At 33.9% G+C, this 27,210-nt stretch overlaps 1 protein-coding gene across 2 annotated transcripts in view; it reads left to right on the top strand.

Annotated features, from left to right (window-relative positions):
• ABCA5 (ATP binding cassette subfamily A member 5) overlaps nt 1-27,210 on the top strand; it is an 82,823-nt gene that overhangs the window by 11,260 nt on the left and 44,353 nt on the right. Inside the window, exons 2-14 of one of the 2 annotated variants that reach the window (NM_172232.4) lie at nt 1,444-1,560; nt 2,578-2,782; nt 6,451-6,612; nt 7,506-7,594; nt 8,920-9,149; nt 11,064-11,205; nt 12,968-13,156; nt 14,588-14,735; nt 18,515-18,683; nt 21,161-21,219; nt 24,548-24,658; nt 25,837-26,012; nt 26,578-26,697. In NM_172232.4, the coding sequence (NP_758424.1) occupies nt 1,459-1,560; nt 2,578-2,782; nt 6,451-6,612; nt 7,506-7,594; nt 8,920-9,149; nt 11,064-11,205; nt 12,968-13,156; nt 14,588-14,735; nt 18,515-18,683; nt 21,161-21,219; nt 24,548-24,658; nt 25,837-26,012; nt 26,578-26,697 (1,902 nt within the window). In that variant the 5' untranslated portion in view covers nt 1,444-1,458. Of the gene's footprint in view, nt 1-240; nt 1,561-2,577; nt 2,783-6,450; nt 6,613-7,505; nt 7,595-8,919; nt 9,150-11,063; nt 11,206-12,967; nt 13,157-14,587; nt 14,736-18,514; nt 18,684-21,160; nt 21,220-24,547; nt 24,659-25,836; nt 26,013-26,577; nt 26,698-27,210 lie in introns of those variants that run through there. The other variant, NM_018672.5, reaches the window with a different exon arrangement.

Here is a 27,210-nt window from a genome sequence, read left to right as displayed (position 1 = left end):
TTTTATCAGATAATTTCAAAGTCTGTGTTATTTCAGCATTGGTATCTTTGATTTTATTTTCTTAGTAGAGTTGCTATTTTTTTTTTTTTTTGAGGCGGATCCTTGCTCTGTCACCCAGGCTGGTGTGAAGCGGTGCAATCTTGGCTCACTGCAACCTCCGCCTCCCGGGTTCAAGCAGATCTCCTGCCTCAGCCTCCTGAGTAGCTGGGATTACAGGTGTGTGCCACCACACCCAGCTAATTTTTATATTTTTAGTAGAGACAGGGTTTCACCATGTTGGTCAGGCTGGTCTCAAACTCCTGACTTCGTGATCTGCCCACCTTGGCCTCCCAAAGTGCTGGGATTACAGGCGTGAGCCACCGCACCCGGTCAGCTATTTTCTACATGCTTCATTTGCAGTGTAATATTGGATTGTATGAGACTTTGGGTTTTGTGTTAATACCTACAGAAAATGTTGATATTTTCTCTTAGCAGGCTGTCAACCAGGTTAGGTTCAGGTCATAAGTTTCTACCCACATTCTTTGAACTGTAGTTGTCATTTTAGTTTATTTTTCAAAAACTTTTGCAGTACCTTTTTGGTCTGTCTTGTGTGTGCCTTGCAGTGAACAGTCTGGATTTGGACAGTGGTCTGTCTGTTAGTTCAGTTTCTCAAGCCTTTGTCACACTAATAGGATTGGATTTATGTATGTCCAGCTTGGGAATTATTACAGGAATTAAAAACAACTTTTTAGAGTGCTTTCCTGAGCTCTCTTTCTATTTGTTCCCCCTTCTACTTTTTGCTTCCCTGTGGCTGCTGTTTCTATCCTCCAGCCAGAGAGCTAGTGTTTATTTTCTCCATTGTGTTACACACTTGTGCAGCTGCAACCACCATATCCAGGGCCCAATGGTAGGAGGTAGAGAAGAAAAGCAAAAGGGATTGGCCTCATCCTCTTACAACGATAGTTCCATTGAATAGAGAGAAAGGTTTTCCTGCCTCAGAGTGTTGGCTGCACTAGGCTTTTGTTACTGTAGTCTGGCCCTGTTACCATGGGATTGCTTGCATGTGGGGATACAGGAGAATTCAGAAAAGAAAAAAAGATTTGCTATTTCTACATTCTCCCTGAGCATTAAGACTTCCCTTGCCCATTCCTCAATTCAAAGCTAAGGCTTCTTCTGGAGCTGCCTCTGTGGGCGGTTCGGGAGATACCAAAGGAGAAAAAGTACCACTGTTGATATGGTGGTATTTCAAATTCTGGTCTACCCTATTTCACATGCCTTGTTTACTTTTCAGAGCTGACAGATTGCTGCTCCATGCATTCTGTCCAGTTTCCTAAGAGAGACAGCTTGGAGTATGCTTAATCCATCTTACCTGGGACTGAAACAGCTGCTTATTTTGCCGTTAAAAATTACATGCAGTTTACTGCGTGGCTCCGGGTTTGTTTGTTTGTTTTTCCTCTTTAATAGGTTTATTCAGAAAACATGTCCACTGCAATTAGGGAGGTAGGAGTTTGGAGACAGACCAGAACACTTCTACTGAAGAATTACTTAATTAAATGCAGAACCAAAAAGAGTAGTGTTCAGGTAAGTTAAATAACTCTTTCTTATGCTTTTTTGCAGTTTATTTTGCTTGATATATTCTATCTTGAAGTGATGATTTATTTTGCTAAATATATTTTTATTATAATTTTATTTTTCTTTGCTTGTAAAGTAAAAGCTTGCCATGTTAGCCACAGAAAAATAACTGAATTACTTAATGCTTTCTAAATGTTAAAAATTTTAATAATAATTTCTACATTTAGTTAATTTCTAACATCTGTGCTTCATTTTCAGCTTTTAGGCATGTGTTTCCTAAGTTTCATGAACTAACATTCCACAATAACTTTGATTCCAGAGTTTTATATCCCACAACCTCGTATTTTATGGACTCTAGATTGAGTTGCCCATGAGTATTAATATTATGACACAGATTTGTACCCACAGCATACATTACTTTTGATAAGGGTAAAAGAAAGGAAGAACTTGGGTAACCAGCTAGTAATAATTTCAAAGGATGAAAACATATTATTCATCTTCCCTGAAACTGGTAAAACAATTAAACAGCAAGATGATATAATAGCTCATTTCTACTAAAACTGACCGTAGAATTTAATTCAGTATGGTTTTGGTAGTATACATTTAGGTATAATTAAAGTATGATTTCTAATTCAGAATTGAATAAAGGCATTTTTATGGTGAATCCATATAGGGATGTTCGGTAAATTGCTTTAGATAAAATTATATGAGTAAATTTATTATGTTTTATGTCAATAATCTAAGATGTTTAAATATTATCTTTTATGTCACCTTAATTTATTTTGTGACTTGAATTTTAAAATATTTCAGTAAAACTAAATACAAAGGAAAAAATAATATGCATGTTGGGTTGGATGAGGTGTTCAACACAAAATTCTTTTGGGATAGAATTGCTTTTATTTTATTCATAAGAAAGGACAACCAAATTTCCTGTTTTTTCTTAGTATTATATTATTTGCCAAGAAATCTTGATGATTTTTGCTGCCATTGTTATACTTTGTAATTACTTTGTTTCTTTTATTGTAGGAAATTCTTTTTCCACTATTTTTTTTATTTTGGTTAATATTAATTAGCATGATGCATCCAAATAAGAAATATGAAGAAGTGCCTAATATAGAACTCAATCCTATGGACAAGTTTACTCTTTCTAATCTAATTCTTGGATATACTCCAGTGACTAATATTACAAGCAGCATCATGCAGAAAGTGTCTACTGATCATCTACCTGATGGTATTGTGAGCTTATATATATATTCTGTTTATAATATTAAGCCTTTTCAATATTTATCAGCTTGCTTTATTGAATGAATAGCAGTCTTAACACTTAGAGATGTGTTCCTCCACCAAAGTCAGTTTTATAAAAATACTAAAATTATTTAATTCTGTTGCCTTATTTTTCTTGTGAAACATTAATTTATATTCTTGGTGGTAGGAAGCATATTTTATGTACTTTTATATTTAATTCTTAGACCATTTATAAAATAGTTTAAGTATACTTGTATAAGATACAAGCTTTGATGGGCTATTTCATTTTGATTCTGACTTTCATATAATTATGAAGCTAGCAATGTTTAGCTGAATGTGGTAGCATGTGCCTGTAGTCCCAGCTACTCAAGAAGTTGAGGTGGGGGGATCCCGTGAGCCCAAAAGTTTGGGGCTGCAGTGAACTATGATCATGCCACTTCATTCCAGCACTCCTTACTCTGGGCAACAGAATGGGACCCCCATCTATAACAATAAAAAATTTAAAAAGGAAGCTAGAAATATGTGATAAAGACTGTAAAGCAGTCACCTTTTCAGCTTACCATGCTTGTTTATAGAAGTGTATGGTGTAAACTGAAGAAGTACCTAACTTTGGAGACTACAACTATGACTATGGCTAAGTCCCTAACTCTGTTTTATTTATTTATATATATATTTTTTGTAGAGATGGGATCTTGCTATGTTGCCCAGGTTGGTCTAAACTCCTGGGATCAAATGATCTTCCTCCCTTGGCCTCCACCTAAAGTGCCACCTAAGTCTTTTTTCTCAATGTGCACTTCTCACAAAGAAATGAACTAGAAAACAGTGTAAGCAGTGAAGTGCCACTGAACTTAAAGTGGCTGTGAGAGAACCTAAAGCAAAAGCTGGAGAAAGTGACAGAAATTCTTATGCTATTAATGATTAAACAAGGAAGTGCTAAATTGTAGAAAATGACAGATTAGCATGTTATTTTTTGCCATATGGGATAGTTGTAATTAGCTTATATGTCATCGCATTATTGGATTTTATGTCATTGAATGGAAAGTGTTAATTATACAGTCAGAAGCCAGGTAACTTTTATTCCATTGGTTTCTTTCTCTGGCTATTTCTATTTAATATTTTGATTAAATACACTTCTTGTTATATGGTAGTGTATCATATTAGGTACAAGTAGTATAGATTACCATGAGAATTTAGTGTACAAGCTCAAAAAGCTGATTAAAAATGTTGAAATGAAATTCATTGGTAATTCTGAGTAGGAGGAAAGAATATAAACCAAAGAAATATGAGGCCAGGCATGGTGACTCACGCCTGTAATCCCAGCACTTTGGGAGGCCGAGGTGAGCAGATCACCTGAGGTCAGGGGTTTGAGACCAGACTGGCCAACATGGTGAAACCCTGTCTCTACTAAAAATACAAAAAAATTATCCAGCCATGGTGGTGGGTGCCTGTAGTCCCAGCTACTTGGGAGGTTGAGGCAGGAGAATTGCTTGAACCCGGGAGGCGGAGGTTGCAGTGAGCTGAGATTGTACCACTGCACTCAAGCCTGGCGACAGAGCAACACTCAATATCTCAAAAACAAAAAACAAAACAAAAAAAGAACAAACAAACAAAAAACAACTAAGTCAGTGTGTATTAGATGCCAAAATAGTGTATACATATACACAAATTTTTTTAGACTTCTGTATTTTTAACAACAGAACTATCTGAAAATGGGTTATGCATACATACATAACATGACTGGTAGGATGTTGAACTAACACCCTCTTTATTCATGTAAATCCTGGAGTTCCCTGTCCCTCTTAAAAGGCCTGGAAAATCTATTAATTAACATTTAAGTAATACTTTAGAATCTATGAAGCATTTTTTTTTTGTCTTTTTCTTCTTTTGTTTGAGATGGGATCTCACTGTCAAGCTGGTTTGCAGTGCTGTGATCTCAGCTCACTGCAGCCTCTGCCTCCTGGGCTCAAGTGATACTCCCGCTTCAGCCTCCTGAGTAGCTGGGACTACAGGTGCACACCACCACACCTGGCTAATTTTTGTATTTTTTGTAGAGACAGGGTTTCGCCATGCTACCTAGGCTGGTCTCAAGCAATCTACTCCTGGACTCAAGCAATCTACCTGCCTCCACCTTCCAAAGTGCTGGCATTATAGGTGTGAGGCACCACATCCAGCCTACAAAGCGTTTTGATGTTTGTTACTTCACTTGTTCTTCACAACAACCCAGTGTCATCAGCTAGGCATTGTAGATGAGGACACTAAAGTCTGAAGAGTTCAAATCGCCTGTCTGTGCTCACACAGTTAATACATGAAGACGTTAAGTACTAATTCTATATTCTTTCCATTTCACCACATGTTTGAAGCTTCTGTAGTGAAAATTAGTTGCTTGTAAACAAAACTACAAGAAAATATTTAAAAATTAGTCTTATCTGATGAGAAAGAATGATTACAGTATTTTTTCCACTTATCTTCTAAGAAAGGAACAAGCAATATTGGATTTGAATGACAATTTTTATTTAAGGAGGAGTTGTGTCATAGTTACTAAAATGCCTATTTAGTTTCTGAGAAGGATTGTGGAATTTTCTTTATAAGAAATATTTAAAAATAAAAAATTCATATATTTACTAAAAAGTTATTTTTGTGCAGGTGCACTGGCTCATGCCTGTAATCCCAACTAGTCCGGAGGCTCAGGTGGGAGGATCACTTGAGGCCAGGAGTTCAAGACCAGCTTGGGTAATGTAGTGACACCTCATTTCTACCAAAATTAAAAACAAAAAATTAGCCAGGCATGGTGATGAGTGACTATCGACCAAGCTCTACTCCAGAAGCTGAGGTGGGAGGATCTCTTGACCCCTGAAGTTTGAGTGCAAGATCCAGTGCACTGCAGGCTGGGTAACAGAACAAAGCCCTGTCTCTAAAAAAATATAAAATAAAATAACGAAGTTATTTTTTAGTTTAACTTCGAGATAGATAAATGAACTGCATTACTAATAATTTTTATAATTTTATTGCTGCCTGAAATTAGTATAATTAATTGAGGTTTTGAGAAACAGCAATTTCTTGAAGAAATATGAGTTCTGCATATTGTTTTATACTATATTTCATATATTTATAACATAAGTATAACACTGACACATTTCTGTAATCAAATGACAGCTGAGTAGTGTCTGCAACATTGTACCATTTTATTATTATTATTTTGTTGGAAGAATTGTCTTCTTTTTGTTTGTTTGTTTTTTTTGAGACATGGTCTCACTCTGTTGCCTAAGCTGGAGTGCAGTTGCTCAGTTATGGCTCACTGCAGCCTCGACCTCCTAGCTCAAATGATCCTCCCACCTCCGCCTCCCAAGTAGCTGGAAGTGCAGGCACACATCACTACACCTGGCTAATTTTTTTATTTTTTGGAGACAGAACCTCACCATGTTGCCCAGGTTGGACTTGAACTTCTGAGCTCAAGCAATCCTCCCATCTTGGTCTTCCAAAATGTTGGGATTACAGGTGTGAGCCACTGTGCTTGGACTGTTTTCATTTTTTAAGAAGTAAATATAGCAAAAGTGTTTATAAAATATTCCATTCATCAAAATAATTGTAAACTTGATCTACTGTATTGTGGTATTTTAATTTGTGAGCTAACTATATTGTTATGATATCTTACAGTCATAATTACTGAAGAATATACAAATGAAAAAGAAATGTTAACATCCAGTCTCTCTAAGCCGAGCAACTTTGTAGGTGTGGTTTTCAAAGACTCCATGTCCTATGAACTTCGTTTTTTTCCTGATATGATTCCAGTATCTTCTATTTATATGGATTCAAGAGGTAAATAGCCCTACATAATCATTGAAGATCAATTAAATGCATATCTTTGCTGCTTGCAGTTCATAGTCAAAATTTTATATAGTTCAATATTGGCATTTTCAACTATTCTTACTTGTTCCAATAGGAAAACTGAGAAGTATAGCATAAAAATATTTATTTATAAATACCTATCTACTTCTACACATAAAACATTTTTATATATACCCATTTTGATTTAATACATTTATATATATTAAATACAGTAGCATAAAGCAAAATTGCATTTTGGGTTATATGACTTTCTAAATCTCTTTTTTTCATGTAATTGTTTTTACTTGTGGTATGTACAAATCTTTAAAATCTTGAGGTCTTCTACTAGTGAACTTGATTAGTTTTATATTTGAAACATGGGAAACAACCTTTGGTTGTTTAAATCTATGAAGAAATATTATCAACCACAAACATTTATTGAGCAATGTTAAAGTCACTATGCTAAATACTGAATTTGTGACTTTATTTCAAAAAGCCCTTCTGAAAATTCTTTTTTCCTGTTTGCTTAACTTTGACTTTTCCTTGCTTCTGGAAGTGCTTTAGAGCTAAGTCATGTAGAATGATTTACTTTAAAACAAAAAAGTAACTTGTTTTAAATAACTACAATTAATTTCTTTCTTTACATTTTTATTCATTTACTATTTAGTATTCTAACACATATAACTTTTATTTCAAAATTTCAAGTAAATGATCAGAAATCTTGTAAGTATTGTTTACCTTTGAAAGTCAGTAGCTTATTTCTTTGGTCCTGTAAAGATTGATTGATTATATTGTTTTGGTAGGTATCTCTCCATATAATATCTTTAAAACGATGCACTTGCATGTTGTACAGAATCTTAGATCTCATATTCTTCCCCCCATAGCTGGCTGTTCAAAATCATGTGAGGCTGCTCAGTACTGGTCCTCAGGTTTCACAGTTTTACAAGCATCCATAGATGCTGCCATTATACAGGTAAATATGATAAAGGAAGAAATACAAAAACTATGCCATTTTAAAATAAATATTTCCTTATTCTTTACAATAGTATTTGGTTTGACTACTGTCAAATGTACAAAATATGTAACCTACTACAACTCCTTTGAGAAAAAAGATAAAAAAGTCATATTTTCTGATTTGGTACTTTTTGTTGTGTTTCATATTTTAGCAGAAAAACTGGCCATGAAATTTATTTTTAAAAATCTTACTTTTGTGTCTGGGCTAGATAACAGTAGATGAAGTTACCTTAGAATTCAAACTATTCAAATTAACCATATTTCATTCTTCCATGTTCTGTATGGATCTGTGGCTTTTTTTTCCATTTGCCCTTTCTAATTGAATTTACTATGCTACAAAATTTACTATGCTACAAAATATTGTAATTTCAAAATGTATATCAACCATCTTGTCTGCTAAACAATACGTTTAAAGTATGTATGAATAATGATGGAGCTGGAATCAAAATCTGAACAGGAGTCTTGTCTCTGTTGTTACACTGCTATGTAGTAAAATGACTATTATAATAGTACTTTACTTGACAGCATTGTCGTAAGAACCAAATGAGATGATTTATGTATAATTGTCTTGTAAACTTTTGTAGTACAGTATAAACATATTAGGGACGTGTAATATTGCACAAATTCAATAATACAGAAATTTAAGGTAAAGATAGTGAAATACGGATCTATTACATTGATGATGTTGTATCACCTATTTGTATTTTGGCCAAAGTTTTTAGCCATCCACAGCACAGACCACACTGGATGAATAGGCAGGATAGATTTCAATTTAGGCATTAATTGGAATGTTAGAAGTATTATGTGGCATAAATAGTTTTATTATTTGGTCTATATGTGCTAAATATATAGACTTTAAAGCAGTAGAAGGGCATGGTATTTAGAAGAACATTTTTTAAACAATCATAGGAATGATGGCACTAATAATCACTCCTAAATTCCTAAATTTTGAAGATGTATATTTTTACTAAGATACATATAATTGTCTGCTTAAGATGATAATTGTGCAATTTTATTTTATTTGACAAATTATTTAATCAAAATTTATACACTTACTGACTTTAAACTTTAAACTTTATGGTATACTTTTAGAATAAATTGAATGCAATATTCTACTCAGAATTATGATATTGGGGTCACTCACTTTATTTCAGGTATGGAGCTTTTTGAGGATTGTATTTGTACTAGGTTACTGACCAAATTTAGGGATATAGCTGTCCCGTTTTACTAGGGGCTGCTATCATAACTAAATTAATTTGATGTATTTACATTTTCTAATTATAGTTGAAGACCAATGTTTCTCTTTGGAAGGAGCTGGAGTCAACTAAAGCTGTTATTATGGGAGAAACTGCTGTTGTAGAAATAGATACCTTTCCCCGAGGAGTAATTTTAATATACCTAGTTATAGCATTTTCACCTTTTGGATACTTTTTGGCAATTCATATCGTAGCAGAAAAAGAAAAAAAAATAAAAGAATTTTTAAAGATAATGGGACTTCATGATACTGCCTTTTGGTATGTTATTAAAAATTTATTACTTAATATAATTAAAAATTGTATTAAATATACAGATTTTCAAAATTGTAATTTTGATATTTACCTAACTTGATGATGTGCTTATCCTGTTTTCTTACAATGATTGCCTTAGTCTTGGAATTTGAGATTAGTCAAGAAGTTTCAACAACTAATTGGCTTCATTTAACATAAGGGATGAAGAATGTCAAAGCTTGTGTTGACAATACGTGTTTAAATTTTATTTCACATTTTATTTGAATCATGGGCACACTCCGTGTATATTTCAGTGTATTTCAATATACTCCACGTATATTTCTGTGTATTTCAGAGTTCAGGAAATGTGAAATCTTGGAACATTAGAAATTAATTGCTTGTTACAGTTCTTCCATAATATAGCATATATATAATATTAAAAATTTAGTTATAGTGATTAAAGTCTGTATATGTGGTATATGGACTTTTTTTCCCTCGAAAGTTTTAGTTATTTGGGTGAATTAAGATGAATATGGAAATAATTTTAGAGAAAGAAATGAGAAAACCATGTTTTCACTAGTGACCTTTAATGTATCAGCATTTTTGTACAGTGATAATTTTACAAAGGCATGCATTTTTATAAATCTAAGTGTAGTTTCCTTACTCTTTTCACTATGTAATGAAGTTCATTCTGGGGGGAAGGTTAATACTGTGCATGTGAGCTGTTATAGTCTGTTTTACAAAATTTTATTCCAATTAGCCCAATGTAACAATTAATCATTAACACTTTACATAATGGAATTATTGTATATAACATATTTCCTTTGCTTGTTTTTCTTTCATTTGTTATTTTAGAAATTATTGGTTTTGGATTATTTTTTGAGACAGGGTCTTGCTCTGTCACCTAGGCTGGAGTATAGTGGCATGATCATGGGTCACTGTGGCCTCAAACTCCCAGGCTCAAGAGATTCTCCCATCTCAGTCTCTCAAGTAGTTGGGACTACAGGTGCATGCTGTCATGCCCAACTAATTTTCAATTTTTTTGTAGGGACGGGGGTCTCGCCATGTTGTGCAGGCTGGTCTCAAAGTCTTGGCCTCAAGTGATCCTCTCATCTTGGCCTCCCAAAGTGCTGGGATTACAGGCATGAGCCACTGTGCCTGGCCAAAGGATTGGTTTTTAAAATTTATTGGGTTATTAAAGTATTTTATGGAGAACCGGTAGCTGGAAGAATTTAGGCAAATCATTCTCTCAGGGTCTCAGTTTTGCCTCAGTAAAATGATGGATTCAATTTTGATAATTTCGCTACCTTTTTAGCCTTAACTCAGTGATTTCATGACATCATTAAATCCTGAGCTAACTTGGAAAAATATGTAAAATAAAACTTAATACTGCAGCAATTCCATTGAGCTCTGATTTGTAAAGAAGTCTTGAGCAAAAATAGTGAATTCATTACTGATCTTGTTGATTTCACATTGTGTAATTGTAGTAATTATGTCATTGATTAGTGAGGTAAGGTAGCCTTTATTGTTTATAGTTACAGAAGCCATCAGAGGTTTAATTGTAGCACATGCCATAAAGAAAATTGTTATCTTGACTCATTAAACTCCTACATTTTAAGAAAATCAGAGACATTGTGTGCTATTGAACTTTTGAGAATATTAGATTTAAATTAATTATGAATTACTATTCATTTTGAAAGCTTTTTTAACTCTGGAAGATAGTATTTTTTATCAGATTACACTTTTACCTATCACTTAACCAATACTATTTTTAATTACTTACAAGACTATTAATTTTTAGTACATAAGCATACACAGAAATGAACAGTGACTTAATTTTAAGAATAAAATGGCTAAAATCTAAAAATTTTGTTTAAAATGATTTTTTAACTGGTTAAGCCTATGCATTTGACCATAACTATATCTGTATTCTCATTTTAGGCTTTCCTGGGTTCTTCTATATACAAGTTTAATTTTTCTTATGTCCCTTCTTATGGCAGTCATTGCGACAGCTTCTTTGTTATTTCCTCAAAGTAGCAGCATTGTGATATTTCTGCTTTTTTTCCTTTATGGATTATCATCTGTAAGTATTTTAACTTGTGATAGGAATAAAGAACTGTCAAAATGTTTGATAACATAGCAAAGTCTTTTTCTTCAGTTTACTTATAGTCAATTTGCCATGAAAGACAGATTTTACTAATTGATAAGTGACTTAATAAATAAATGATGTGGCATCACTGTATTCCTGTATTTTTAGTAATGTTACAAAATAGTTTTAGATTTAGATTTAGCTTTTGTCATATGATGTATTTCACATACAACTCCTCTATCTGTTGTCTTTATATAATGATGTATATAATTAAGACTGTCAAGTATTGGACTATTTTTGTTTGTCTTCATGGAATCCTTACTCTTTCAAGTTAATTTATGCTCCAGGATGATGATTTTTAAAGATACATCTTTGCAAATGTAACTCTTTAGCAGTCTTGATATTCATTTGATATATTGGCTGAATGAGAGGTTTTAATGACCAGCCTTTGTTTTAAGTGGTTCCATCTTCCATTCTGATTGGTTTATGTGCCCACCCTGTATCAGTTGTTAAATGTTTTGGCTATCATTTCTGCTCTTTAAAATAATAAATTGCAAATAACTAACATACTTCCATATGTAATTGCCTGGTTTTTTTTTAAATGTTTAATTTTACTTTTTTGAGACAGGGTCTTGCTCTGTGGCCCAGGCTGGAGTGCAGTGGCACACTCATGGCTCACTGCAGCCTTGACCTCCCAGGCTCAATCCTTCAACCTCAGCCTCCTGAGTAGCTGGGACTACAGGTGTGTGCCATCACACCTTGCTAATTTTTGTGTGTGTGTATGTATATATGTATATATATATATACATATATATATGTATGTATATATATATATACATATATATATATGTATGTATATATATATATATATATATATTTTTTTTTTTTTTTTTTTTTTTTTTTAGAGTCGAGGTCTTCCTAAGTGTCCAAGTTTGGTCTTGAACTCCTGGGCTCAAGTGATCCACTTGCCTTGGCCTCCCAAAGTGCTGGGATTACATGAGCGAGCCACTGCAGCAGGCCTTCTGGTTTTTTTTTTCTTTTTAAACTGTTTTTTTTATCTTATGAATAAATTAAGTTTAAAATATGGGTCTTGTACTTAAAATTTTTGTTGATTTATTATTTTTTCACATATTTTATGCATCTTACTGCAGAAACACATGGCTATTTATGGTTTCTGTAATGTAGAGGTGGTCATGTTTACCTATGATACAGATAAAAATACAGTATTTAATATTTGTTAGTTTAAGACCAGATGTGGTGGCTCACACCCGTAATCCCAGCACTTTGGGAGGCAAGGCAAGAAGATTGCTTGAGGCAAGGAGTTTGAGACCAGCCTGGGCAACATGGTGAAACCCTGTCTCTACAAAAAAAATACTAAAATGCTGGACGTGGTGCCCCACGCCTGTAATCCCAGCTACACGGGAGGCTGAGGTGGGAGGATCACCTGAACCCAGGAGGTGGAGGTTGCAGTGAGCCAAGATGGCACCACTGCACTTCAGCTAGGGTGACAGAACAAGACCCTGTCTCAAAAACAAAATCAAAACAAAAACACAAAAATATTTGTTAGTTTAAATTTTTAAAAGGTATATCACTATTTGTTTGAAAATAAAATACCATAGCATTTAGAAATTATAGTTGTATTTTTATGAATGCATTTTTCATGAAAATAGCTTGTTCTTTCAGAAGCAAACTTTAATTTTGTTTTCATACTGGTATATATGAACATTGCACTAACCTTAATATTTGTATTTTATAGGTATTTTTTGCTTTAATGCTGACACCTCTTTTTAAAAAATCAAAACATGTGGGAATAGTTGAATTTTTTGTTACTGTGGCTTTTGGATTTATTGGCCTTATGATAATCCTCATAGAAAGTTTTCCCAAATCGTTAGTGTGGCTTTTCAGTCCTTTCTGTCACTGTACTTTTGTGATTGGTATTGCACAGGTAGGTAATATATTAATCTTGCATTCACTAAATATTTTCTTTCTGTTTTATGTAGCTTCTTATACTACCATGAATACTACCTTTGATTTACCAAAAAAATTATTTTAAAATTTTAGCATGAGGAAGAAATGATTTCTAGAGTATATTTTATATCTAGTTTTATTTATGTTTGTCCAATTTTAAGTTTTTAGTTAAATGTTCTGTTTATAAATTTTTTACTTTTTACTTCAGTGTATCTCAGTGATTTATTTCACTGCAGAAACTCAGTTTGATAGTAATGTGTTTAAATGTCAAGTAATTCTTATTGCCTATGGCCTGGTTATATTGCTATCATTTGTACATTTATCTCAGAAGAATGCATGGGAGAAAATTGTGTGTGGAGCAGAACAAATTTACCGTGAGTGTAGTGGTGGAATAAGTAGGCCTGGTGGATTTTGTTGGCCCAGGCTTCATGGAATTGTCATTCAAAATAACATTCAGACTTACAAATATTATTTTTATTAGTCCTTACAGGAGTAGTTAGGTTCTAAATGGAAGAAGTCTTATAAGAAATGGCTTTGTAGTGGAACATGAATTTGGCTAATGTACAAAGAAAAAAATGTAATTACTAAATATAAGAAATTACTCATGTTGGTTGGATAGAAGTTCTGATTTATGAGATATAATTAAATATTGAGTTAATCATTTTACTTTTTTGAGACCTGAGAATGATTGTTATACATTTTGAGAGTTCATTGAGTCCCCGAGTCCGCGTTCTCTAGGAACGAAGAATTATAGATTCATAGGTTTTTGTTGTGAGTGGGATGGCCTTTCAGTGTCATTGAATTTATCTTCTTCATTTTATAAATGAGAGGACTGAAGCCTAGAATAGTATAATTAAAGCGTATTCACTTAATGGCAGGGCTAGGACCTAAATGAGGCTTCAACCTCCAGTACATTTCTCTTTCCATGCTATCACAAATATCTACTATGAATACTTTAATAATTGTGTTAATTAATCAAAATACTTGCTTTTCTCTATTGGAAAGATGCTAACCTAATTTTATTCCCTAATACTTAATTTGTTTGGCTTTCATATGGATCATAACCCTTTTGTTTGCATTTGTTATTATTAATATTGCAGTTTGTTTTTATTTCATTTGTTAGTAATTACATTGGAATTAAATGCCCCTAGAGTGAATATATCCCAGTTAAAGAAGCACAACATTAAAAACATGATTGAAAGGAATTGGTTTGATAAACTTACATTTTTGTAAAGTCTTTATTGTTTTCCTTATAAATTTATATTATTAATTTGGTCAAGTGTTTAATCTATTAAAAGGCCCAGTTGGTTACTATCACTCTGGATATGCTAAATAACTCTTAAGTAGTGTTAGCTTTTGCTTGTTTTTGTCATTTTTATGTAATAAAGTTAGTGTTTGTATTTTTCAGGTCATGCATTTAGAAGATTTTAATGAAGGTGCTTCATTTTCAAATTTGACTGCAGGCCCATATCCTCTAATTATTACAATTATCATGCTCACACTTAATAGTATATTCTATGTCCTCTTGGCTGTCTATCTTGATCAAGTCATTCCAGGTATGCAGATGGTTTTTGAATTTTACTTTAAAGATTTTTAGGCTTTTTTGCCCACATAGGGTCAGCTTAATTTTAAGATTTTTTTTCCTAACCAGGGTACCCTAAGTCATATTCATTGTTAAAGCTTTTAATTTGACTTTAAATAAGTATATTTTGTACCTTAGGCTATAGCCACTAGTGAACATAAAGAGATCGTGTAAAAAGAGAGCAGTTTTGAAAGCCTTAAGTCTCTAGTTGATCTTACCTTGGTCCTTCTTTATATCAGTCTTTTTTAATTGAAGTATTTTATTTTACCCTCTAAGGTCTAAAACTATGAAGTGATCTTGTAACTCCTACCATTTTCTTTATCTCCTGTCCACATCTATAGCCAATATAGCAAACTCCTGTAGATTCAATAGTAATATTAAGTATTGAGCATATTTCCTTTTCCACTTGTATTCCTCATTACCTGTGTCTGTATTCTACACCTGTACTGTCCTGTATGGTAACTACTAGCCATGTGTGGCTTTTAAAATTTAAATTGATTACAATTAAATCAATTAACAATTTATTTTTTTCAGTAGCACAGGCCACATTCCAAGTGCTCAGTAGCCATATATGGCTGTTAGTTACTAAATTGCATGGTGCAATCTAGATGTTCTGTAGAACATTTTGACCATTATAAAAGTTGTATTGTGTAATACTAGTCTAGACTAGAGGTTCCCAACCCCCAGGACACAGATCTTACTAGCTGCCTGTGAGGAACTGGGCTGCACAGTAGGAGGCATGTGAGTGAAGCTTCATCTGTATTCACAGCTGCTCCTCATTGCTTGCATTACCACCTGAGCTCCACCTCCTGTCAGATCAGTGGCAGCATTCAATTCTCATAGGAGTATGAACCCTATTGCGAACCGCGCATGTGAAGGATCTAGGTTGCATGCTTCTTATGAGAATCTAATGCCTGATGATCTGTCACTGTCTCCCATCACCCCCAGATGGGACCGCCTAGTTGCAGAAAAACAAGCTCAGGGCTCCCACTGATTCTACCTTATAGTGAGTTGTATAATTGTTTCATTATATATTACAATGTAATAATAATAGAAATAAAATTCACAATAAATGTAATGCATTTGAATCATCCTGAAACTATCCTTGCTCCCTGTCTGTGGAAAAATTTTCTATCACAAAACCAGTCCCTGGTGCCAAAAAGGCTGGGGACCACTAGTCTAGACCATTGCAGTATCTCTCATCTAGTTACATACCTCAAGTCTGTCTGAGCACTTCACCCCTTTTTTTGAGGTTTTATTATTTTTTAATAGATTTTTGGGGAACAGGTGGTGTTTGGTTACATGAATAAGTCCTTTAGTGTTAATTTCTGAGATATTGGTGCACCTGTCACCCTAGCAATGTACACTGTACCCAGTGTGTATTCTTTTATCCCTCACCCCCCTCCCACCTTTTCCCTGAGCCCCCATAATCCATTGTATCGTTCTTATGTCTTTGTGTCCTCATAGCTTAGCTCCCACTTATGAGTGAGAACATACAATATTTGGTTTTCTATTCCTGAGTTACTTTACTTAGAATAATGGTCTCCATTTCCATCCAGGTTGCTGCAAATGGCATTATTTTGTTCCTTTTTATGGATGAGTAGGATTCCTTTGTGTGTGTGTGTGTGTGTGTGTGTGTGTATGTGTGTGTGTGTGTATCACATTTTCTTTATCCAGTTGTTGGGATGGGCATTTAGGTTGGTTCCATATTTTTGTAATTGTGAATTAATTATACTGTTATCAACATGTGTGGGGAAGTATATTTTTCACATAATGACTTCTTTTCCTCTGGGTAGATGCCCAGGAGTGGGATTGCTGGATCAATCGGTAGACTTACCTTAGTTCTTTAAGGAATCTCCACACTGCTTTCCATAGTGGCTTTACTAGTTTACATTCCCACCAACAGTGGAAAAGTGTTCCCTTTTCACCACATCCATGCCAACATCTATTATTTTTTGATGTTTCGATAATGGCCATTCTCGTAGGAGTAAGGTGGTATCACATTGTGGTTTTGATCTGAATTTCCCTGATCATTAGTGATGTTGAGCATTTTTTCATGTTTCTTGGCCATTTGTATATCTTATTAGAGTTATCTATTCATGTTCTTAGCGTACTTTTTGATGGGATTGTTCGTTTTGTTCTTGCTGATTTGAGTGACTCATAGATTCTAGATGTTAGTCCTTTGTCAACATATATATATAGTGAAGACCTTCTCCCACTCTGTGGGTTATCTGTCAACTGCTGATTATTTCTTTTGCTATGGAGAAGCTTTTTGGTTTAATTAAGTCCTATCTATCTTTGTTTTTGTTGCATTTGCTTTTGGCTTCTTGGTCATGAAGTCTTTGCCTTTTTTCTGATGTTATCGTCTCAAATTTTTATGGTTTCAGGTCTTAGATTTAAGTCTTTTATCTATCTTGAGTTGATTTTTGTATAGGGTGAGAGATGAGGATCCAGTTTCATTCTTCTACGTGTGGCTTGCCAATTATCCCAGCACCATTTGTTAAATAGGGTGTCCTTTCCCTACATTTATGTTTTTGTTTGCTTGCTGTTGGAGCAGTAACAGTTCCCAGAGGAATGCCAAGTACTGATAAAATCAATTGGAATCCTCTGTACTTGGCATCAGATCCCTTTGAAATGTGGCCAATCTAAAAGAAGAGTAGATATTTGAAAAAAATGAGGAGTGTAGGTATTTTGAGAGGGAAAAGGGAGAAAATGGAACATGTTGTCTGGGCAGTTACCACTGTATGCCCTTTCTTTCCTTCTTTCCTTCCTTCCTTCCTTCCTTCCTTCCTTCCTCTCTCTCTCTTTCTTTCTCTTTCCCCTCCCTCCCTTCCTTCCTTCCTTCCTTCCTTCCTTCCTTCCTTCCTTCCTTCCTTCCTTCCTACCTACCTTCCTTCCTTCCGACAGGGTTTTGCTGTGTCTTTTTTGAGACAGGGTTTTGCTGTGTCTTCCAAGCTGGAGTGCAGTGGCACGATCACAGCTCACTGCAGGCTCAGCCTCCTGGGCTCAAGTGATCCCCTTGCCTCAGCCTCCCAGGTAGCTGGGACTACAGGCATGCACCACCGCATCTGACTAATTTTTTGTATTTTTTGCAGAGACAAGGTTTTGCCATATTGCCCAGGCTGGTCTCAAACTCCTGGGCTCAAGCAATATGCCAGCCTCTGCCTTCCAAAGTGTTGGGATTATAGGTGAGAGCCACCATGCCTGGCCTCATTGTATACCATTTCTAAGTCTCATATTTCTATCCTGTTGTTTTGTTGCTCTCCATAATTCTGTAGTCTTTTCCATGAAGCATATCCACTTTTCTAGTTACTACCTATTTTCAAAGATCATTTAAGATGGTGCCCATTCAAGTCTTCAACACATTCAGCCTGTGTTGTGTTCTTGCCATTTGCTATCTACTTGTACTCATAAAGGCATTAGTTCCTTTAGCATAGAAGATGTGCTTTATTCACCTTTACCTCCCACTCAGCAATTCTGAAACTATTTATGGACTAGAATTATTTATCAATAAAACTTTGATTCATACAATATTGATTTAATACAATACAGCTAATCTTTATTTACTTATTACTTTTCAATGACAAATGAAAATTGTATATATTTATTGTGTACAACATGATGTTTGGAAATATATATATGTTGCGGAATGGTACCTAAACTTTAGATGCAGGTTGTCATATGTTTGAAATGCTGTCTTTATGATTTAAAAACTAATTATGGTAACTCAGTTTTTTAATGTTTATTTTTCAGGGGAATTTGGCTTACGGAGATCATCTTTATATTTTCTGAAGCCTTCATATTGGTCAAAGAGCAAAAGAAATTATGAGGAGTTATCAGAGGGCAATGTTAATGGAAATATTAGTTTTAGTGAAATTATTGAGCCAGTTTCTTCAGAATTTGTAGGAAAAGAAGCCATAAGGTATGGTTCAATCTTTGGCAATTTAGGTATAAGAACTGCTGATGAAACATTTAAATCCTATTCTTTAAATATGTATGTAAATATGGTATATTAGATTTGGTACATATGCCATGATTTTAAAACATTAATAAGGGCTACTTTTCTCTTTTTCTTATTTTCTTTGCAACCATTTAGAATAAAGTTGGTGCTAGGTTTGAAATTTTATGTTTCTTTCTTTCTGTTTTTTGAGACAGAATCTCGCTCTGTCGCCCAGCCTGGAGCACAGTGGCACAATCTCGGCTCACTGTAACCTCCACCTCCCAGATTCAAACAATTCTTGTGCCTCAACCTCTCAAGTAGTTGAGTCTACAGGCATGCGCCACCATGCCTGGCTAATTTTTGTATTTTTAGTAGAGACAGGGTTTCACCATGTTGGCCAGACTGGTCTCGAATTCGTAGCCTCAGGTGATCCACCTGCCTCGGCCTCCCAAAGTGCTGGGATTACAGGCGTAAGCCACCACACCTGTCCCCTGAAATTTTATGTTTGGATGGAAAATTTTAAAAGTAATAAAACCTGATGTTTATACAATTAATGTTTAAAGCTTTTCCCATTATGTAGACTGAAACATGATAAATATTAACTATATAATTTTGTTCATGCTACATTGTTTTATACAGCATATTAAATTGTCATCTGTTAATTTCATAGATTTTTAGGGTTTGAGGCATAATTAGAACATTTCATTACTTTAATTTTTAAGAACCAAAGAAATTCATTACGATTCCTTGTTAGGTCAGTCAGTACCAAATTTAGAAATAAAATTAGGTGAAAGAAAAGAAATAAAATAAAATGAAATAAAAAAGTGAAGCATAATATTTTTTAAATTTAAGAAAAATGTAAAAATTCCAGAGAAAGTCAAAATACTTAAGATGTAATTCATTGGCCAGTGGCCTGCTTTCTTAACGGTAAATTTTAACTGATTAACAAATCATTTCCTTAAAAAAATATGAAAAAAATAAGGTAGAATAAGAAAATCACTTCACATTTGTTAATGGTTTGAAATTTGTGCTGACATGAAATGACATCTGGTTTATATCCCCCTTCACTGATGTAACAAGTGTTTGATAATCAGAAATGAAAAAAAATCCATAAATTGCTTAAATCAGATTCTTCACTTAGTTTTAGAAGTTGGGTTGGCATGAAAAATGAATCAATGACGCTTACAATGGAAAGGAATACTATGCTTTTCTCTTGTACCTTCTTTAAAATAATTTTATAGTTGATCCCTGAAAAATACAAGTTTGAACTACACCAGTTCACTTATATGTGGATTTTTTTCAGTAAATATATTGAAAATTTTTTTGGAGATTTGTAACAATTTGAAAAAACTCGCAGATGAACTGTTAGCCTAGAAATACCAAAAACAAATGTTAGGTATGTCATGAATGCATAAAATATTTATAGATATTAGTCTATTTTAACATTTGCTACCATAAAATATACACAGATTATAGTAAGTTATGCTTTATCAAAGCTTAATGTACACAATATTGACAGACCTACATTATGCCAATGCCCAGTTGAGAGAAATGTAAACAAATGTGAAGATGCAGTATTAAATCATAGCTGCATAATATTAACTACAGTATTACTGTACCACTGCAATAATTTTGTAGCACCTTCTTTTGCTGTTATGGTGAGCTTGTGTGTTCCAAGCATATACTTCGAATGCCATGTGACTCAATTATCTCCTTGTGAGCTGTTCATCTCTCCAGTAAATTGCATATCATGATAAAAAGTAATGTCTCAGGGTTCTTGCTTATTTTTTATTATGTGTAGTGCAATACCGTAAGCCTTGAATAGCATCATGGGATCCATAGGAATTGCCACTAGTGATGCTGGAAGTGCTCTCAAGAAGCAGAGAAAGGTCATGACATTATAAGAAAAAGTTGAATTGCTTGTATGTACCATAGATTGAGGTCTGTGGGTGCGGTTACCTGTCATTTCAGATAGACTGTGCATCTTGTTCATCTTATAAATAGATGATGTGAACTGACGGCATTGATAAATACAGTATAATAATGTAAATATATATTTTTTCCTTATAATTTCTTAACATTTTCTTTAGTGTACTTCATAAAAATACAGTGTTTAACATGTAAAACCTACAAAATATATGCTAAACAACGGTTTATGTTATCTGCAAGACTTCTTATCAATAGTAGGCTATTAATAGATTAGTTTTAGGGGATTAAAAATGTTATATGTGTATTTTCAACTATGTGTGGCAGTTGGCACTCCTAACCTGTGTTTTCAAGTGTCAATTGTATTTTCATTATCAACATTATTTGGTTCATTGTTTTAGTAGGAAAGTACTTTATTATTATTTTATTATTCTTATAAAATGTGATAGCATTGATAAAAATATGCATGGTAAATAAACACACATACTTATAAATTGCTTTAAATACTTAAAATATAAAACTTTATATTTCAGAATTAGTGGTATTCAGAAGACATACAGAAAGAAGGGTGAAAATGTGGAGGCTTTGAGAAGTAAGTAGTTTTCCTAGTATTCAGGCCATAGTATTTAAAGTACAACTAGAAAAATAATTTGCATAGCTTGTGGGAAATTTAAACTTCTCTACCATGATTTTCTGTCTTGCTTTTATTTTATTTTATTTTTTTTGAGATGGAGTCTCGCTCTGTCACCCAGGTTATAGTGCAGTGGCGTTCTCTTGGCTCACTGCAACCTGCGCCTTCTGGGTTCAAGTGATTCGCCTGCCTTAGCCTCCTGAGTAGGTGGGATTACAGGTGTACGCCACCATGCCCAGCTAATTTTTGTATTTTTGTGGAGACGGGGTTTCACCAAGTTGGCCAGGCTGGTCTCAAACTCCTGACCTCAGGTGGTTCGCCCGCCTCAGCCTCCTAAAGTGCTGGAATTACAGGCATGAGCCACTGCGCCCAGCCCCTGTCTTGCTTTTTTGAGATACTTTCGTTTATGTGATTAATATTCAAAATAAAACTAACAACATGACATTTGTAAAAGTAAAATGTAGTATCTATTAAAATGAAAAATACTCAATTATTTGAATAAGGCTATGTCCTTGTTTCAGTTTATTATTTTGCATGTATATGCAATACATGTTAGTTACTTTTTGAAAAATTCATTTGGCCTATCGTAGGGTTTTTCAACCTCAGCACTACTGACATTTTGGTCCTGATAATTCTTTGTTGTGAAGAACTGTTCTTTAATGTAGAATGTTTAGCATTGTGTCAATGTGTTAGTCAGTCCCCAGAACCAATAGAATACACACACACACAAACACACACACACGCACACACACACACACACACACACACACACACACACACACCAGTATGATTGTAGGGTGGGGGATTAGGGGAGGTTTGTTTTAAGTAATTACTTCATGAGATAGTGGGCCCTGGTAAATGTAGAAATCTGTAAGGCAGGTTGGAAACTCAGGCAAGTGTTGAAGTTTCAGTCTTGAGCTCAAAATTTGTAGACAGGCTGACAGGCTGCACACTCATGTAGGAGTCTGTTACATTCTTGAGGCAGGACTCTTCCAAGGAACCTGTTTTTTCTCTTAAGGCCTTCAACTGATTGGATAAGGTTTACCATTATTATCAAGACTAATCAAGTTTAACTCAGATGATTATAAAAGTTAATGACATCTACAGCAACTTCTACATCAGTATTTGACCAAATAACGGCACCATAGCCTAGCCAGGGGGACCCATAAAATTAACCTTCACAAGCAGCATCCCTGGCTTTGATCACCAAAGAGAGAAGGAGTTCTGCCTCAAGAATGAAACAGATTCTTGCGTGAGTTTCCAGCCTGTCAGCCTATGAATTTTGGACCCAAGATGGCAACTTTAACTCTTGCCTGAGTTTTCAACCTGCCCTACAGATTTTTGGGACTTACTAGACCCCACAATCTTCTGAAGCAATTTCTTAAAATAAACCTTCCCTAATCCCCCAACCCCACACTCATACTTGCTCCATTGTGTGTGTGTGTGTGTGTATTCTGTTGGTTCTGGAGACTGACTGACACGCTGCTAAACATCCCTGGCACACTGCTAAACATCCTCTCCCAGTTGTAACAACCAAAAATGTCTCCAGTCTTTACCAAATGTCTTCTAGGAGGCAAATTAATTTATTAAGAAGAAAGTAGGTATAGTGGTATACTAATAGGGTTTTAGTTTGCATTTGCCTAATAACTAATGTTATTAATCACCTTTTTATATGATTATTGGCATTTGGAGGTTTTCCTTTATGAAATGCCTATTCAAGTTCTTTTCACATTTTTGTTTCAAGACCTTTGTTAGATACAGGTATTTAAATATTTGATCTCAGTCTGAGGCTTGCCTTTTAATTCTACTAGCAGTGTCTTTTGACAAACACAAGTCTTAATTTGAATGAAGTCCAATTTATGAATCTGTTCTTTTATGGTTACAGTGCTTTTCACGTCTTTTTATTCAACATTGGAGATTATATATAACCTCCAATGTAAGTTATTGGTACAACTAGTTAAGTATAATTATAATTGTAATAACAATTACAACTAATTGTTTCTAATGCAAAGAAGCAAGAGAATGAAATAAAAGGCATCCAGATTGGAAAGGATGCAGTAAAATTATTTGCAGTTGACACAATAATCTATTTTTAAAATCTTTTAGATTGACAAAAAATAATAGTGGAACTAAACAGTGAGTTTTGCAAGATGATAGGATACATGATAAATAATGGAAAAATCAATTGTATTTCTATATGTTACCAACACATAATTGGAAATTAAAATTAAAAATAGCATTTAGCATCAAAAAATATGCTTACAGGTAAATAAGACAAAAATGTAAAAGACATATCCTGATAAGTCCAAAACATTGCTGAGAGAAATTAAAGAAGATTTAAATAAATAGAAATACCACGTTCATGGGGCAGAACACTTAACGTTTAGTTGTTGAGTTCCCTTTCTTATTTTAACTTAGATTATTGGCGTTAGGATCTGAGACTTTTTCCTTCTTGTTTTATATGTTAGCCTTCTTAGTCTAGTTTTTGTTGTTGTTTGTTTGTTTTTGAGACAGGGTCTTGCTCTGTCCCCCAGGCTGGAGGACAGTGGCACAGTCTTGGCTTATCATAGCCCTGACTTCCCAAGCTCAGGTGATTCTCCCACCTCAGCCTTCCGAGTAGCTGGGACTACAGGTGCCACCATGCCCAGCTAATTTTTATATTTTTTGTAGAGACGGGATTTCGCCATGTTGCCCAGGCTAGTCTCGAACTCCTGGGCCCAAGTGATCCTCCCACCTCAGCCTCCCAAAGTGTTGGGATTACAGGCACGAGCCACTGTGCCTGGCCAGCCTAGTTTTTTGATAAGCCATTTCTGCTTCATCATTTCAGGTCCCCATCTCCTGTCTTCCTTCATTCCTTTACATATCCATTCAGTGATATTGCTTCATTAAATCTAACCTTTCAAGCCATTTCTATGCTATTGGTTAATTTCTTGTTTTTTTGCCAGTTTATTTAAATGCCTATAAATATCCTTGGGAACAAATTTTTGTTTAATTCCATTGGTTCCATTGGTAATTCCCAAAAATTGGGACACAGAAAATTCCCAAATATTTTGTATACTCTTAAATCTTACTGTATGAACAAATAAAGTTTATTTTTATTTACTTTCATTACTGTTTATATCGTTGACTGTAACAAAGAAGCTGTTTTACCTGCTATCAAATATGCTGGTAACTTTAAATATGTATTTATAGATATAGTGCCTTGAAGATTGCTCAAATATTATGAATTATCATGCATAGCTGAACAGACATAAAAATTACATTTGAGTCTTCTTTTTTCCTGAACTAGATTTGTCATTTGACATATATGAGGGTCAGATTACTGCCTTACTTGGCCACAGTGGAACAGGAAAGAGTACATTGATGAATATTCTTTGTGGACTCTGCCCACCTTCTGATGGTGAGTTTTCTGTCTTAAAGAAAAAAAAACTTCATTATATATATTCTTTAAATGTGTATTGAATAATTTTTGTCAATGGGACCAACTTCTGTATCTGTAAAGGTGTTTTCTTTTTTTCTTGATTATACACATGTGGTTGTTTTTAGTAGAAGATAAAAATGATTCTATCATGTTTAATAAAGTAAAAAGGATCTAATTTTGTACATATTTCTATACATATACACACGTAGATGTGTATGTATGTGTTTTTATTCATCATTTTCAAGGGAGGATAAATGAGTAACTTATTGGAAATTAAATCAGAACTATAGACTATTTGAGGTTGAGAAAATAAACACAAATATCTAAATATACAGCAATAGTTCAGCAGGAAATAATTGTAAATGTTCATACTATCTTCTAAAATAGAATTTTAAAGGCATACCTCAAAAGTATAATTTTGATATGTGATTGTTTGGTAGGTGAGAATTCATTATAGTAGCTCCATATTATGACAGTAACCAAATAGAGTGGCAGTACAATAAATATTTTACTTTACAAAAGGGCTGAATTGTATTGAATCTGCATTTCAACTCTTTAAATGTTATTTAACTTTTAAAATTAGTTTGATTTTGTTCTTTGTCCTTAGTTGTATCACTCTTTGATGGTAGTCATAATATCTTACATTTGTATAAGAATTTATGATTTTTCCTCATGATTCTTCATAATGTATGATTGTTTTAATTTTCACTATTAAAACAATGAATATATTAGTGTTCACTGTATAAAAAAGGAAAGCTGGAATTTAAAGAGATTAAGTAATTTGGCCATGACCACACAGCTAGTTAGGATAAAATTTATAGTTCTTTAATCCCTCCACTATTGCACAGTGTCTAGAAAATTGTTACTGGAATACAAGTGTAAATAGTGTATCAATAGATATTTATGTTTAGTGTCAAGCTTTTACTTTCTTGCTTTTCCCACTATGTTATATGACCTGTAAGTGATGGAAAATGAGATTGAAATATAAGTGGATGCGGATCACCAATAATATTGAAGGGTGTGTTGTGCCTTGTAAATTTATATTAATTTTTACCTTATATGTCTGTTATAACCAAATAACTAAGTTATCAGGATACTTGAAAACATACACATTATAAAATAATTAATGTACATTTAAATATATATTTTGCTTTTAGGGTTTGCATCTATATATGGACACAGAGTCTCAGAAATAGATGAAATGTTTGAAGCAAGAAAAATGATTGGCATTTGTCCACAGTTAGATATACACTTTGATGTTTTGACAGTAGAAGAAAATTTATCAATTTTGGCTTCAATCAAAGGGATACCAGCCAACAATATAATACAAGAAGTATGCTATTCATATAGAAATCTTTACTTTTATTTCCTGTAATCAATAACCTTTTGTAATGACTTGTGCAATAAAAATATGCTTGAAAATCTAAATATAACACTTGTTCTGAGCCAGCAAACAGAAAGCTATTACAAAGAATTAGACAGAATTTGGAGTAAATGTTTTAGCACACATAAAAGTTTGTTTCATCTGGAGGATGCTTGCCTGCCTTATTCCTGCCTTCTCTTGCTCTCATCTCCTCTACCCCCTCCCACTTCCACACATACATTAAGAGCCATCACAGTGATCTCTTATTCCTTCCCTACCACCCAAGAAGGCACAAAATTAAAACCTTTCCCTCAAGAATCTTGTTACCTGTTGTTTTCATAATTATATATGAGTATATGTCAAAGGCAGTTCCATGCTAAAGGATCATTTTTAAAGTTGATATTAAAATTATTTAAAAACCTATGTTACTTAAATATCTAACACATTAAAACTTAAAATATTTAAAAAGTAATATTGATAATTATATAAATGGTATGATTTTTAAAATAACATTGTTCATGCTTTACTTTTACAGGTGCAGAAGGTTTTACTAGATTTAGACATGCAGACTATCAAAGATAACCAAGCTAAAAAATTAAGTGGTGGTCAAAAAAGAAAGCTGTCATTAGGAATTGCTGTTCTTGGGAACCCAAAGGTAAATAAATATTACTTTTACAGATGAGCTCATTTTAAATTATGTCGAATTAAAAAGCAGGTTGTAGAAAGATATAATACATTATGTAAAGGTTAAGTGTACATAAAATGCTGTATGTTATTATGGATATAATCATAGTAATGAGATTTTAAAAGTGAAGTCAGAAAGATGTATAACTTTTTTTAATTTTAGTAGCTGTCAAGGTACTAAAGGTTTTTGGTTACATGGATGAATTATATAGTGGTAAATTCTGAGGTTTTAGTGCACCCATCTCCTGAGTACTGTACATGGTACTCAATATGTAGTTTTTTTTATTCCTCACCCCCTTCCACCCTTTCCTTTCTGAGTTATAACATCTTTATGATAACTGGTTACTTTTAGGAAGGAGAATGGAAGAATAGACTTTAGTTATGACTGCCATGTTTTCTTTCTTTCTTTCTTTCTTTCTTTCTTTCTTCTTTTTTTTTTTAATTTGTAGAGACGAGACCTTGCTATGTTGCCCAGGCTGGTCTT

The sequence above is a fragment of the Homo sapiens genome, chromosome 17, assembly GCF_000001405.40.
Source record: "Homo sapiens chromosome 17, GRCh38.p14 Primary Assembly".
NCBI lineage: Eukaryota > Metazoa > Chordata > Mammalia > Primates > Hominidae > Homo > Homo sapiens.
Note: the sequence above shows the minus strand (reverse complement) of the source record. Positions and strands in the feature narration are given on the sequence as shown.